The 16,748-nt window shown below is 47.2% G+C and overlaps 1 annotated feature.

The window, feature by feature from the left end:
- Positions 4,713-5,213: an enhancer, noted in NCBI's record as "H3K4me1 hESC enhancer chr6:33343116-33343616 (GRCh37/hg19 assembly coordinates)". NCBI's record gives its function as "activates a minimal SCP1, AML or CMV promoter by ChIP-STARR-seq in primed H9 embryonic stem cells {active_cell/tissue: H9 hESC(primed)}" and the evidence as "EXISTENCE:reporter gene assay evidence [ECO:0000049][PMID:30033119]".

The raw sequence follows: 16,748 nt of genomic DNA on the forward strand, positions 1-16,748 counted from the left end.
ACCAATATATTGTATTCTTGAAAAATGTTAAGAGATTGAATGTTGTGTTCTCACCACAAAAATGGTAATTATGTGAGGTAATGCATATATGTTAATTAGCTAGATTTAGTCATTCCAAGTTTATATATGCTTCAAAATAGCATGTAATACCTATGGAAACTAAGAATTAGGCTGGGCACAGAGGCTCACACCTGAAATCCCAGTGCTTTGGTAGGCCAAGGCAAGAGGATTGCGTGAACCCAAGAATTTGAAACCAGCTTGGGCAACATAGGCAGGCCATGTCTCTACAAAAAATACAAAAAATTAGCTGGGAGTGGTGGCTGGAGCCTGTAGTCCCAGCTATAGGCTGAGGTGGGAGGATCACTGGAGCCCAGGTGTTTGAGACTGCAGTGAGCCTTGACTGTGGCAGTGCACCCCAGCCTGGGAGACTTGTCTCAAGAAAATACTGAAAATAAAAATAAAAAAGCAGGCCAGGCGCGGTGGCTTACGCCTGTAATCCCAGCACTTCGGGAGGCTGATGTGGATGGATCACTTGAGGCCAGGAGCTCAGGAACAGTCTGGACAACAAGGAGAAACCCCATCTCTATCAAAAAATACAAAAATTAACTGGACATGGTGGTGCATGCTTGTAGTCCCAGCTACTCTGGAGGCTGAGGCATGAGAATCTCTTGAATCCAGGAGGTTGAATTTGCAGTGAGCCAAGAAGATCACTCTACTGCACTCCAGTCTGGGTGACAGAGCTAGAATTTGTCTCAAAAATAAATAAATAAATATTTAATAAATAAATAATCAAACCAAAACCAAACCATCATGTCCTATATGATAAATATGTAAAATTTATCTGTCAGTTTAAAAATAATAGGCTGGGCACATTGGCTCATGCCTGTAATCCCAGCACTTTGGAAGGCCAAGGCAAGTGGATCACCTGAGGTCAGGAGTTTGAGACCAGCCTGGCCAACATAGTGAAACCCTGTCTCTACTAAAAATACAAAAATTACCTGGGCGTGTAATCCCAGCACTTTGGGAGGCCGAGGCAGGTGGATCATGAGGTCAGGAGATTGAGACCAAAAAAAAAAAATTTTTTTGAGACAGAGTACTCTGTCACCCAGGCTGGACTGCAGTGGTGTGATCTTGGCTCACTGCAACCTCTGCCTCCCCAGTTCAAGGGATTCTCCTGCCTCAGCCTCCCGAGTAGCTGGGATTACAGGTGCCCACAACCATGCCTGGCTAATTTTTGTATTTTTAGTAGAGATGGGGTTTCGCCATGTTGGCCAGGCTGGTCTCGAACTCCTTACCTCAGGTGATCTGCCCATCTCGGCCTCCCAAAGTACTGAGATTACAGGCGTGAGCCACCACACCTGGCCTCTAAGAACTCTTTTTTTTTTTTCCGAGACGGAGTCTTGCTCTGTCACCCAGGCTGGAGTGCAGTGGCCCGGCCATAAAAACTCTTGAACAAGAATGGATGGGGGCTGGGCACGGTGGCTCATGCCTGTAATCCTAGCCCTTTGCTGAGGTTGGCAAATCACTTGAGGTCAGGAGTTGGAGACCAGCCTGGCCAACATAGCAAAACACTGTCTCTACTAAAAATACAAAAAGTAGCCAGGCGTGGTGGAAGGTGCCTGTAATCTCTGCTACTCAGAAGGCTGAGGCTGGATAATCCCTTGAACCCAAGAGGTGGAGGTTGCAGTGAGCCGAGATCTTGCCATTGCACTCTGGCCTAGGCAACAGAGTGCAACTGCCTCTCAAAAGAAAAAAAAAAAGAATTGATGGGTTGGCAGGGTACTGACACTTGGAGGTGCTGGGAGGGTGGTGCCCAGATGGGCCATGGAAGCGCCAAGCCTCTTCCTCCCAAAAGCTCACCCTATGCATCTTTTAAATCCAGCTATTCATCTATATCTTTAAAACGTCCTGCATAATTAAGTGATAAACGTGTTTCCCTGAGTTCTGTTAGCAATCCTAGCAAATTATGAAGCCAAGGAGGGGGTTGTAGGAACCCTGATTTATAGCAGGTTTGTCAGAAGCACAGATCACAGCCTTGGTCTTGGAATTGGCATCTAAAGTGGGAGGCAGTCTTTTGGGACTCAGCCCTCCCCCTGTGGAATCTGATACCATCTCCAGGTAGCTAGTGGCTGAATTGAATCAAATAGGCCACTCAGTATTTGCTGGATAGTTAACTGTTTGGTGTGTGGAGAAAAAGTCCCATACATCTGGTCACAAGTGTTTTGTGTTGTGTGAGCAGACAGGGAGGGTCTTCAGGGATTACAGAAATTTAATCACCCTGAGCAATTGGCTTGTTTTACAGCCTCCTGCCGTGCAGCCTCTTTTTTCCTAAACCCTGTGTTGACTGCAGTCACCTAGTTGGTTAAAACTGGCTCCTGGCAGACCCCAGAAACTTGTAGATAAACCTGAGTGAAAGTTCCTCATTACCATGCTGAAATCTCCATCCTGGGAGGAGCTGTGGCTTCATTCTCATAGCATGTGACCTGTGTGCGGGCGTGAGGATTCACTGTGTTTCCAAAACTGGGACCCCTCCTCTACATGCAATGAGGCACCCTCTCCCCTCCCCATCACCCCCTAAAATCCTCCTGTCACTTCTCTCCGGGAGACACTGCTTTGAAGAATCCTCCCAGTGCTCTCCTTACTTGTAATTAAACTCCTGTTGATTAAAACCTGCCTTGTGGAGAGTCATTTGTTATTTGCCAGGCAAACAAACCCTGTTTTTTTTCAGGTAACAAGAGTATGGTGGAAGAAAACAGTTTAGGTCAGGCACAGTGGTGCATGCCTATAATCCCAGCACTTTGGGAGGCCGAGGCAGGTGGGAGGAACACTTGAGCCCAGGTGTTGGAGACCAGCCTGGGCAACATAGTGAGACACCCCCCAACTCCACCCCCATAAAAAAAAAAAGAAAAAAAGATGTAATCCCAGCACTTTGGGAGGCTGAGGCAGGCGGATCACTTGAGGTCAAGAGTTGGAGACCAGCCTGGGCAACATGGTGAAACCCCGTTTCTATTCAAAATATAAAAAAATTAGCCAAGCATGGTGGTGGGCGCCTGTAATCCCAGCTACTCCAGAGGCTGAGGCAGGAGAATTGCTTGAACCCGGGAGGTGGAGGTTGCAGTGAGCCGAGATCCTGCCATTGCACTCCAGCCTGGGTGACAGATCGACACTTAGTCTCCAAAAAAAAAAAAAAAGAGGCCAGGCACAGTGGCTCACACCTGTAATCCTAGCACTTTGGGAGGCCGAAGCGGGTGGCTCACCTGAGGTCAGGAGTTTGAGACCAGCCTGGCCAACATGGTGAAACCCCATCTCTACTAAAAATACAAAAATTAGCCGGGTGGGGTGGCACGGGCCTGTAATCCCAGCTACTTGGGAGACTGAGGCAAGAATTGTTTGACCCGGGAGGTAGAGGTTGCTGTGAGTTGAGATCGTGCCAATGCACTCCAGCCTGGGTGACAGGGTGGGACTCTGTCTCAAAAAAAAAAAAAAAAAAAAAAGTTTGTGTTTACAGTTGTATAAGGAAGTGGTGTCTGTGAGGTTTGCTGAGGCTCAGAAATTAATACCCCAAAATATGCCAACATGCTGAACTGAAGAAGAAACTTCAAGGTTTCTCTGACCTCTCTTCTCAACCAGCTCTCCCACAGGCAGGATGAGTTATTCTCTGAAGTTCCTTTATCTGCTTCAAGTCCAGACATACCACAAAGAATAATTGTTTTCTCTTCCCCTCCCTGTAAGATCAGGAATGGAATCACACCTGAGCAGGTCCTTTCCCAAAAGAGTCTGTCTCTCAGCTCATTCACATTCCACAGGGAACTATTCAAAACTCAATCTCTATCTCTGGGCCCATTCATTCTCCCTAATAATCGCCTATGGCCCCTCAAGAGAATTCCTGTTCCCTATCCCATAACCTGTTTTGCCAGGATGGTAAATAAGCTCCTGAACCCTGTTGTGGATTGGTTAATCACTCTGTGGTTCTCTCTGTGTACACATTAATCCATTTATATGCCTCTTCTCCAATGCACCTTTTTTTTTTTTGTTTTGTTTTGTTTTGTTTTTTGGACAGACTCTTGCTCTGTCGACAGGGCTGGAATGCAATGGCACAATCTCAGCTCACTGCAACCTCCACCTCCTGGGCTCAAGTGATTCTCCTGTCTCAGCTTCCCGAGTAGCTGGGATTACAAGCACACGCCACTGTGCCCAGCTAATTTTTATATTTTCACCATGTTTCCAGGCTGGTTTTGAACTCCTGACCTCAGGTGATCCACCCGACTCAGCCCCCCAAAGTGCTGGGATTACAGATGTGAACCACCGTGCCCAGCCTGCATCTATCTTTCGTGAGTTAATTTTCCAGCCAACCTTCAGAGGGCGAAAGGGAAGTTTTCCTTTGGCCCATACAGGTTCATTATAGCTATTCTATGTAGTTTTCTACTTAAGTATGTCATAATTTCAAAAGAGAAAAAGAGAAGGGAGAAAATTGTTCTAAGCTTTCAATGTGAAGGCCTGGCACTTTTAAAGAATAACAGCTTCTGTGGCCAGACTTTTAGTATCAGTATGGACTTTCCCTGGAGAAGTCCAGCCAGATGGGCAGACTGGGCAGATGCTTATACTGATTAGCTAGATTTAGCTAATGGGCAGAGCCGTCACAATGCACTGGTTGAAATGGTGCAAAAAAATAATGTAAGGCTTTTTTTTTTTTGGTACAGGATCTGGCTCTGTTGCCTATGCTGGAGTACAGTTGCTCAATCTTGGCTCACTGTAACCTCCGTTTCCTGGACTCATGCCATCCTCTCGCTTCAGCCTTCTGAGAAGCTGGGACTACAGGAATGCACCATCACACCCGGCTAATTTTTGTATTTTTTGTAGAGATGGGGTTTCACCGTGTTAACTAGGCTGGTCTCATAACCGCCCAATGTGTTTACCTTGCCCGCTGCCTAGACAGAGCCGATTTCTCAAGACAGAGGAATTGCAATATAGAAAGAGTAATTCACGCAGAGCCTGCTGTGTGGGAGACAGGAGTTTTATTATTACTCAAATCAGTCTGCCCAAGAATTCGAGGAGCAGAGTTTGTTTTTGTTGTTGTTGTTTTGTTCTGTTTTTTGAGATGGAGTCTCTCTCTGTCACCCAGGCTGGAGTGCAATGGCAAAATCTTGGCTCACTGCAACCTCCACCTCCCAGGTTCAAGTGATTCTCCTGCCTCAGCCTCAGTAGCTGGGATTACAGGCCTGTGCCACCATACCCAGCTGATTTTTGTATTTTTAGAGACAGGATTTCACCAAGTTGGCCAGGCTGGTCTTAAACTCCTGACCTCAGGTGATCCACCTGCCTCAGCCTCCCAAAGTGCTGGGATTAGAGGCACGAGCCACCTCGCCCAGCCTGGGGAGCAGAGTTTTTAAGGACAACTTGGTGGGTCAGGGGAAGCCAGTGAGCCAGGAGTGCTGATTGGTCAGAGATGAAATCATAGGGAGTCTAAGCTGTCTTCTTGCGCTGAGTCAGTTCCTGGGTGGGGGCCATAAGATCAGATGAGCCAGTTAATCAATCTGGGTGGTACCGGCTGATCCATCAAGTGCAGGGTCGACAAAATGTCTCAAGCACTGATCTTAGGAGATGTTTAGGGAGGGTCAGAATCTTGTAGCCTTCACCTGCATGACTCCTAAACCGTAATTTCTTTCTTTCTGTTTTGTTTTCTTTTTTTTCTTGAGACAGAGTTTCGCTCTTGTTGTCCAGGCTGGAGTGCAATGGCGCAATCTCGGCTCACTGCAATTTCTGCCTCTGGGGTTCAACCCATTCTCCTGTCTCAGCCTCCTGAGTAGCTGGGATTACAGGCACATGCCACCACGCCCAGCTACTTTTTGTATTTTTAGTAGAGATAGGGGTTCATGATATTGGTCAGGCTGGTCTCGAACTCCTGACCTCAGGTGATCCGCCCGCCTCTGCCTCCCAAAGTGCTGGGATTACAGGCATGAGCCACTGCACCCAGCCTAAACCATAATTTCTAATCTGTGTTAGTCCTACAAAGGCAATCTAGTCCCCAGGCAAGAAGGAGGTCTGTTATTGTCTTTGTTTTAAAGGGCTATTAAAACAAAGGGAAAGGGCTATTATTGTCTTTGTTTTAAATTATAAACCAAGTTTCTCCCAAAGTTAGTTCAGCTTAGGCCCAGGAATGAATGACAGCTTGGAGGTTAGAAGCAAAATGGAGTCGGTTAAGTTAGATTTCTTTCACTGTCTCAGTCATAATTTTGCAAAGGCAGTTTCAGTCTCTAACTCCTGCGCTCAAGCAATTCACCCACCTCGGCCTCCCAAAGTGTTGGGATTACAGGCATGAGCAACCATGCCCAACCTGTAAGGCCTTTTTAAAAAAATATAAAATCAGATATGAAGTTTTCTTTGGACTGGGCGTGGTGGCTCACGCCTGTAGTCCCAGCACTTTGGGAGGCTGAAGCACGTGGATCACCTGAGGTCAGGAGTTCGAGACCAGCCTGGCCAACATGGTGAAATCTCATCTTTACTAAAAATAAAAATAAAAACTATCCAGCCGTGGTGATGGGCGCCTGTAATCCCAGCTACTCAGGAGGCTGAGGCAGGAGAATCATTTGAACCTGGGAGGTGGAGGCTGCAGTGAGCCGAGATCTCGCCATCGCAAATCAGCCTGGGCAACAAGAGGGAAACACACAACTCTGTCTCAAAAAAAAAAAAAGGTTTCTTTGAAGAATTGTTGCCAGAAAGTGGTCATGATCCAAACCCCAAGAGAGAGTTCTTGGATCTCATGCAACAAAGAATTCAAGGCAAATCCATAAAGTGAAAGCAAGTTTATTAGAGAAGTTAAGAAACGAAAGAAGGTTACTCCAAAGGCAGTGCAGCCCTGAGGGCTGCTGTTTGCCCATTGTTAAGTTATTTCTTGATTATATGCTAAACAAGAGGCAAATTATTCATGCCTCCCCTTTTTAGATCATATAGGGTAACTTCCTGATGTTTCCATGGCATTTGTAAACTGTCAGGTTGCTGGTGGGAGTGTAGCAGTGAGGACAACCAGAGGTCATTCTCATCGCCATCTTTGTTTCGGTGGGTTTCAGCCGGCTTCTTTACTGCAACCTCTTTTATCAGCAAGGTCTTTGTGACCTATGTCTTGTGCCGATCTCCTATCTCATCCTATGACCTAGAATGCCTCAAGTGTCTGGGAATGCAGCCCAGTACGTTTCAGCCTCATTTTATCCAACCCCTATTCAAGATGGAGTTGCTCTGGTTCAAATGTCTCTGACAGAATGGAAGTCCCCTTTCTATTTGTTTGTTTTAAAAAATAAAGTCAGGCCGGGCGCGGTGGCTCATGCCTGTAATCCCAGCACTTTGGAAGGCCGAGGCAGGCGGCTCATGAGCCGGGCGTGGCGAGCGCCTGTAGTCCCAGCTACTCGGGAGGCTGAGGCCGGAGAATGGTGTGAACCCGGGAGGCGGAGCTTGCAGTTAGCCAAGATCGCACCACTGCACTCCATCCAGCCTGGGCGACAGAGCGAGACTCCGTCTCAAAATAAATAAATAAATAAATAAATAAATAAATAAATAAATAAATAAATAATTAAAAAAATAAAAAATAAAGTCAGAGTTTCTGCTATATTGCCCAGGCTGGAGTTCAGTGACTATTCACTGACGAGATCACTGTGCACTATAACCTGGAAATCCTACAGTCTTGAACTCCTGGACTCAAGGGATCCTCCTGCTTCAGCCTCCAGCGTAGCTGGGACTACAGGCACGCACCACCACATCAGGCTCAGAAGATCACTTTTAATTAGCAAACGGCTCACTAGCAAGATTTGAAAAACTTCAAAAAGCTAAGTATAACTCTCAAATCGAATGCATTTTTACTTTGCACATACTGTTCTCAAGATTCTGGCATCCAAGAAAAAAAAAATAATACTTCTCCTAGGGCTAATAAATTTGTAAAGACTTGCTATTACATGACTTGTTTCAAATGTTTGCAGCATATTGTTTATATAAATTATAATGGTTTCCGTGAAATTTAATAATGGTTCAAAATTTGTATCATTTGAGATAAGTGAGGCATCAGTGAATTTACTATGCTTTTCCCACGTTGTGTTATATTCAAAGACAAAAATCTATGGCTAGGTATGGTGGCATACGCCTGTAGTCCCAACTACTCCTCAGACTGAGGCGAGAGAATCGCTTGAACCTGGGAGGCAGAGGTTGCAGTGAGCTGAGATCGTGCCACTGCACTCCAGCCTGGGTGACAGAGCAAGACTTTATCTCAAAAATTTAAAAATAGGCCGGGAGCAGTGGCTCACACGTGTAATCCCAGCACTTTGGGAGGCCGAGGCAGGCGGATCACGAGGTCAAGAGATTGAGATCATCCTGCCCAACCTGGTGAAACCCCGTCTTTACTAAAAATACAAAAATTAGCAGGGCATTGTGGTTCGCACCCGTGGTCCCAGCTACTCAGAAGGCTGAGGCAGGAGAATCGCCAAGATCACGCCACTGCACTCTGGCCTAGGCGACAGAGCAAGACTCCATCTCAAAAAAAAAAAAAAAAAAAAATAGAAACACAGTGGCTCACACCAGTCAGTAATCCCAGCACTTTGGGAGGCCAAGGCAGGTGGATCACGAGATCAAGAGTTCGAGACCAGCCTGACCAACTTGGCAAAACCCCATCACAAAAAACAAACAAACAAAAAAACTCTCGGCAAAACAGAGCAAGGCTCCATCTCAAAAAAAAAAAAAAAAAAAAAAATTAGCCAGGCGCGATGGCGGTTGCCTGTAATACCAGCTACTCAAGAGGCTGAGGCAGGAGAATCACTTGAACCCGGGAGCTGGAGGTTGCACTGAGCTGACATCGCACCATTGCACTCCAGCCTGGGTGACAGAGCGCGACTCTGTCTCAAAAAAAAAAAAAAGAAAGTGATCACATTTTGGGAATGCATTGACTATACCCTAAAAAGCTCAGGAGAATATACAGTTGAGGCTGGGTGTGATGGCTAACGCCTGTAATCCCAGCACTTTGGGAGGGCGAGGCAGGTGGATCACCTGAGGACAGGAGTTTAAGACCAGCCTGGCCAACATGGTGAAACCCCATCTCTACAAAAATACAAAAATTAGCCGGGCATGATAGTGGGTGCCTGTAATCCCAGCTATTTGGGAGGCTGAGGCAGGAAAATCGCTTGAACCCGGGAGGCGGAGGCTGCAATGAGCCGAGATGGCGCCATGGCACTCCAGGCTGGGTGACAGAGCGAGACTCCGTCTTGAAAAAAATGACATCACTATACTTCACATGGGCTCATTTATTGTCATTATTATTATTATTTTTTGAGACAGAGTCTCACTCTGTCGCCCAGGCTGGAGTGCAGAGGTGTGATCTCGGCTCACTGCAACCTCCACCTCCCGGGTTCAAGTGATTCTCCTGCCTCAGCCTCCTGAGTAGCTGAGACTACAGGTGCCCGCCACCACGCCCAGCTAATTTTTTGTATTTTTAGTAGAGACCGGGTTTCACCATATTGGCCAGGATGGTCTTGATCTCTTGACCTCGTCATCCGCCCGCTTCGGCCTCCCAAAGTGCTGGGATTACAGGTGTGGCGCTCATGTATTTTGTAATATATTTTCTTTTCTTCTTTCTTTTTTTTTTTTTGTGTGTGTCTGTGTGTGTGTGTGTAGAGGCATGGTCTAAATATGTTGCCTGGGCTAGTCTCAAACTCCTGGGCTTAAGTAATCCACCCACTTTAGCCTCCTAAAGTGTTGGGATTACAGGCATGAGCCATTGTGCCCAGCCTGTTATAGACTTTAAAATAAATTTGTTTATGTATTTGCTTATACCCTGCACACCCTAAGTGCAGTGTAGCCTCAACATGTCCAAGCAGAGCCCTTGACCTTCTCCACAAAACTCCTCCTCTTTTGGTGCCTGTCTCCCTGTGACTGACTTTGCCAGCCACCCAGTTGCTCAAGCCAAAAATCTGACATTCTCCCTCCAACTACCTTCTCTGCTCGCCCCACCCATTTCATGTCTTATCCATCTCCAGGTCCTGCTGGTTCTGCCTGTTAAGAACCTTCCACATCTCTGACCTCTCTGCATCTTCACAACTACACTTTTGTTCAGGTCCTCTTGCCTCTTGCCTGGATGACTACAGTGGTGTCCTAACTATCTTTCCTCATCCTCACCCAATTACTGCCAATCTATTCTCCATTTTGTAGCTAGCGTGTTCTTTCAAAAATGCAAATACCTTCACATCACTGCCTAAATTAAAGAGCACCCCCTCTCATTGCTGAAGTGTAAAGTCCCATGATCTGATATGTTCCCTTATCAACTAACAAGGGCCCTACAGTTAAGAAAACCAAAGTTACTTCTGGCTGGGAGTGGTGGCTCATGCCTGTAATCCCAGCACTTTGGGAGGCTGAGGCGGGTGGATCATGAGGTCAGGAGTTCAAGATCAGCCTGACCAACATGGTGAAACCCTGTCTCTACTAAAAGTACAAAAAATTAGCTACGCATGGTGGCGGGCGTCTGTAATCCCAGCTACTCAGGAGGCTGAGGCAGAGAATTGCTTAAACCTGGGAGGCGGAGGTTGCAGTGAGCCGAGATCGCACCACTGCACTCCAGCCTGGGCGACAGAGGGAGACTCCATCTCAAAAAAAAAAAAAAAGAAAAGAAAAAAAGAAAACTAAAGTTACCTACAGGTAGAGGGTTCAGAGTCTGGCTGGCATGGCAAATTTCTAAATTCCTATGGCTATAAGAAAAGCCATAGTCTTACTATAAACTCTCTAACAATAGGGAGTTAGGAGCTATCAGACCCCTCTTAACTATGATTTACAACCCAGATCACTACAACTCCGAGTAGACGAAGGACAGGCCTTCCAAACATTCTGTTTTTATTTTATTTTATTTTATTTTATTTTTTTGAGACGGAGTCTCACTCTGTCGCCAGGCTGGAGTGCAGTGGTGCGATCTTGGCTCACTGCAACCTCTGCCTCCCGGGTTCAAGTGATTCTCCTGCCTCAGCCTCCTGAATAGCTGGGACTACAGGTGTGCCACCATGCCCGGCCAATTTTTTTTGTATTTTCAGTAGAGATGGGGTTTCACCATGTTGGTCAGGCTGTTCTTGAACTCCTGACCTCAGGTGATCCACCAGCCTTGGGCTCCCAAAGTGCTGGGACTACAGGCGTTAGCCACCATGCCTGGCTGAATGTGATCGCCTTCAATGATGGCAGCACCCCTACATTTTACACAGGACCACCAGTAGGGTGGATAGGTGAGCGGCCTGTAGGTGGAATGAGAAGGGCAGTCCCTTTCTTTTCCTTCTTTTTTTAGTAGAGAAGTGGTCTCACTATGTTGCCCAGGCTGATGCTGAATTCCTGGTCTCAAGCAATCCTCCCACCTTGGCCTTCCAAAGTGCTGGGATTATAAGGGTAAGCCACTGCACCAGGCCAAGCAGTCACTTTGACATAAAGAAAGTCCATCCCTTGACCAGCACAGCTAACCTGGGAGAGCAGAAGGTCAGCACATCAATTGAAGAGAAGAGAGGACATTAATGGGAAGAGCCTGTTGGGTTGTGGAACAACCTTCCTGAAAGCTTTGAGAGGAGATAGGCAGAGCTATTCCCAGAGGACAATCTGGCATGTAGCACAGAGGCTGTGGAGTGGATGGGATGACTTTCCTGGGTGCCAGTGAAGCATGTGGCGCGACACCATCAGTGAGGGACACACAGGACGAAGGACTCCTTTGACTACCTGCCACTCTAAGGTAACAGAGATACCACCACAGTTGGAACACAAAGAATGGGGGCGGGGGAGCCATCACTAGGACCCACACATACAGCTCAAGCTTAAGGGTCAAAGTGGACCAGCCGGTAGCCCAATCATGTGCGATCCATAAAAGAAATACCTCTCTGCTAGCAGAATTGATCCTACAAGGCTACAGAACCCCATGAGCGCCCAATGGGAGCGAGTTCTCTGCTGGCACAGGCTGGCCCTTGGCTCTGTAGAGTGACTTAGGAAATTTCAAGGAAGATACTCCAAAGTGCAGAGTCCCTTCAAACACAGGGTCCGAGGCAGGGCCCAGGCCACTCAGGCTACTCCACGGTACTCTGTGGAGGCATAGCAACAATGTCTAGGCTGGGTGCAGTGGCTCATGCCTGTAATCCCAGCACTTTGGGAGGCCATGGAAGGCAGATGGCTTGAGTCCAGGAGTTTGAGAAATAACAGTGGCTTAAACAAGAGACAAGTGAATTTTTCCTGTAAGCAAATTCTGAGATAACCAGTCCAGGACTGGTGCAGAACTTCCAAGATTACCAGGAAGGCAAGACATTTCTAATTTGTGGTTCTTTTTTCTTTTTTTTTTTTTTTTTTTGAGATGGAGTCTCACTCTGTCGCCTAGGCTGGAGTGCAGTGGCACAATCTTGGCTCACTGCAAACTTCCCCTCCCGGGTTCAAGCGATTCTCCTGCCTCAGCCTCCCAACTCCCAAGTAGCTGGGATTACAGGCACATGCCACCACGCCCAGCTAATTTTTGTATTTTTAGTAGAGACGGGGTTTCACCGTGTTGGCCAGGCTGGTCTCAAACTCCTGACCTCAGGCGATCTGCCCTCCTTGGCCTCCCAAAGTGCTGAGATTAGAGGTGTGAGCCACCACGCCCGGTGAAGCTTGTGGTTCTTCTATTCTCAACAAATGGCATGGTTTGACGGGGAAGGGCATACTCCTTCCTTTAGGGCTCTCCCTGAAATGTGGATATATTACTTCCATTTGTGCTCTATTGGCCAGAGCACTGTCCATTGCCATACCTAGTCTCAAGAGAGGCTGGGAGTTGAGATCTTTTTTGGTGGCCATGTGTCTTGCAAAAAAAAAAATCTAGGGTTTATTAACACGAAAAGATTGGAGAAACAATACTGGGGGGAAACTAACAGCCTCTATCAAAGGCTCAGTGTCAGTATCAGTATTATGCTCAGCTGTGAGAGGCTGGACCAAGGTTGAGAGCCTGAGCCACAGCACCCTGTGTGGGCAGGACACCCCTGGGCAGGCCTGTAGCACTCGAGGTGGCCGGGCAGAAAACCTTGCCCTGTGGGGATCTCTATAGCAGATGGTGGCAAACTGCATGATGCAGAAGAAAAGGAGTGTTTACTCTTTTTCCCCATGTTGCCCAGGCTGGTCTTGAATTCCTGGGCTCACTCCAGCACAGACTTTGCCCCTGTAAACCTTCACCCTTCCCCATCCTGGAAGTAGGGAATCCCGACCAACTGACAGATTTGTAGGAGACTCCTGCTCCTATCCCCAGGGTAAAGCCTTCATGGTCTGCCCCCTCCTACCCATCCCGCCAGCCTCAGCTCCCCAGACTGTTCCGTGCTGCAGCCCTTCTCAGTTCTGCACACTTGATGAGCCCGGCTCTGGCCTGTCGTGCCCTGCTGCTGCTGCTCAGGGATACGTACAATTGTACAGACTGTGCTAAGAACTTCACATGCATGATCTCTTTTAGTTTTTGTCGCTGCCTCTCTGCTCATCTGTACTCCTCACTGGGCAGGAACTTTGAGAAATGGAGGCCCACATCTGTTGTGTTCACTGCTGTAATCCCAGCAAGCAGCATGGTGCGGCACCTTCACAGGGCCTCTGGCTCCAGATCGTTGGCACACAGTAAGTGTTTCTTTTTTTAAAATTATTATTATTATTTTTATCGAGAAGGAGTCTCGCTGTGTTAGCCCAGGCTGGAGTTCAGTGGTGCGATCTTGGCTCACTGCAACCTCCGCCTCCTGGGTTCAAGCAATTCTCCTGCCTCAGCCTCCTGAATAGCTGGGATTAGAGGCCCGCCACCACGCCCAACTAATTTTTATATTTTTAGTAGAAACGCGGTTTCACCATGTTGGTCAGGCTGGTCTCGAACTCCTGACCTCATGATCCGCCTGCCTCACCCTCCCAAAGTGCTGGGATTACAGGCGTGAGCCACTGCACCCAGCCATAAGTGTTTCTTATGTTGAATTTGCAGCTTGTATAAAAATGAACCAAGACATTATGAAATACAGTCACTTTTTTTTTTTCCTTTTGTGACTAATTTTTCTTAAGGAGCAGTGATCAGGGAAAGGAAGATGTTTCCCTAGAACTCCTCTAGAGGGCATATCTTCCCTGGATCTTTGACATTGATTTTCGGAGCGGTAATGGATCTTACACAAGGAGTGGCCATCCCCTAGGAGGCCTGTCCACGCAGATGGAGGGTGTGGTGGTGCTGAGTGATGTCTCCCTGGCAGCTTGGACTGGAGACCCTAGAGGGAGGTCTTCATGTCCAAAGGCAGGGATCTGGAAGAAGGGGAATGTGTGTGCACAGACTGCCCCCTGCCCTTTTTTTTTTTTCTTTGAAGACAGGATCTCACTCTGTCACCCAGGCTGAAGTACAGTGGTGTGATCATTACTCACTGCAGCCTCGACCTCCCAGGCTCAGGTGATCCTCCCACTTCAGCCTCCCGAGTAGCTGGGACTACACCTATGTGCCACCATGCCTGGCTAATTTTTTGTAGAGACAGGGTTTCCCCATGTTTCCCAGGCTAGTCTTGAACTCCTGGGCTCAAGCAATCCACCCACTTTGGCCTCCCAAAGTCCTGGGACTACGGGCATGAGCTACTGTGCCTGGTCTAGACTCCCCCTTTTTTTTTTTTTTAATGAGATGGAGTTTCACTCTTGTTGCCCAGGCTGGAGTCCAATGGCGCAATCTTGGCTCACCACAACCTCTGCCTCCCGGGTTCTAGAAATTCTCCTGCCTGAACCTCCTGAGTAGCTGGGATTACAGGCATGCACCACCACGTCTGGGTAGTTTTGTATTTTTAGTAGAGATAGGGTTTCTCCATGCTGGTCAGGCTGGTCTCAACTCCCCACCTCAGGTGATCTGCCAGCCTCAGTCTCCCAAAGTGCTGGGATTACAGATTACAGGCATGAGCCACCGTGCCCGGCTTTTTTTTTTAGGCGGAGTTTTGCTCTTGTCGCCCAGGCTGGAGTGGAATGGTGCGATCTTGGCTCACTGCAACCTCCGCCTCCTGGGTTCAAGCAATTCTCCTGCCTCAGCCTCCCAAGTAGCTGGGATTACAGGCACCCACCACCACGCCCAGCCAATTTTTGTATTTTTAGTAGAGATGGTGTTTCACCATATTGGCCAGGCTGGTCTTGAACTCCTGACTTCAGGTGATCCACCTGACTCAGCCTCTCAAAGTGCTGGGATTACAGGCGTGAGCCACCACACCGGGCCTAGACTCCCATTTTTATTTAACGTCTTCCATTTCTTATCAGAGAAATGATAATAAAATATAGAAAAGCACAATTCTTTATTTTAACCCCACCTCTCGCTCACTTAAATGACCAGTTATTTCCAAGTCTGGATCTGAAAATTTCTATTATGAGAGACTCTCCAGGACCTTCATTCAGTTCCACGTGTAGTTGTGACATTGTGTGATATTGGCACACGGTTGGAAATAACACTTGTGTAGCAGTTTGAGATGAAATATAGGCAATGCCTGGCTTCTGAAAGTGCCTTCAGGCCTGATGTTACACAAGCATTCTCAGCCCAACTTGCCTCCCCTCCTATTTCTATCTCTACCTTTAGCTGGGTATTTGGATAGTTCAGGGGAAAAAGGGGTAAAGATGAGATGACAAAAGACACCCCAGCCGCTGGGCCCAGCACTTTGGGAGGCTGAGGTGGGTGGATTACTGAGGTCAGGAGTTCGAGACCAGCCTGGCCAACATGGCAAAACCCTGTCTCTACAAAAAATACAAAATTTAGCTGGGCATGGGGTGCAGGCTTGCAGTCCCAGCTATTTGCGGGGGGAGGGGAGCTGAAGCAGGAGAATAGCTTGAACTTGCAAGGTGGAGTCTGCAGTGAGCCGAGATTGTGCCACTGCACTCCAGCCTGGGTGACAAAGTAAGACCCTGGCTAAAAACAAACACACACAAAAATATATCATTATGCATTTCTGAAAGCAAATGTGCTATAATACTGCTTTGATCTGAATGTCCCCCAAAATTCATATGTTGACATTTAATCTCAACTTTGGTGGTATTAAGAGGTGAGGTTGTTTGGGAAGTAATTAAGTCATGAGGACTCCACTCCCATGAATGAATTGAGGGAAAGGGCTGGAGGGAAGGGCTGGAGGGAACTAGCTTCGGCCCTTTTTTGTCCTTCTACCATGTGAGGACACAGCATTCATCTCCTCCGGAGGATGCAACAACAAGGCTCTATGTGAAGAAGGAACCAGGTCCCTCACCAGACACTGTACCTGCCGGCACCTTGATCTTTCACTTCCCAGCCCTCCAGATCTGTGAGAAACACATTTCTGTTGTTTATAAATTACTCTGTCTCAGGTATTTTGTTATAGTAGCACAAACAGACTTAGACAAATAACGTTTTATGTTTACAACCCATAGGAGGAAAATTCTGGATTTGGAATCTATCTTGGCAAGATAATACATAGATATGATTATAAGAAAATCAGTGAGGTCATAAACAGTGGCTTACCAACATAGGTTGGTATACAAATATAACTTCACATAACAAATATAGTTGACTTGAAGTAAACAAACACAATCTACTATAGCATTCTGACAAATGTAGTTTCCTATAACAAATAATCAAAGCCTTAAGTTTCAGGTTACAGTTTTCAGAGTTAGTAGTAGCCAATTACTGCCAGGCATAGTGGCTCAAACCTGTAATCCCAGCACTTTGGGAGGCCAAGGTGGGAGGACTGCATGAGCCCAGGAGTTTGAGACCAGCCTGAGCAACATGGTGAGACCCTGTC

The sequence above is a fragment of the Homo sapiens genome, chromosome 6 (assembly GCF_000001405.40).
Source record: "Homo sapiens chromosome 6, GRCh38.p14 Primary Assembly".
NCBI lineage: Eukaryota > Metazoa > Chordata > Mammalia > Primates > Hominidae > Homo > Homo sapiens.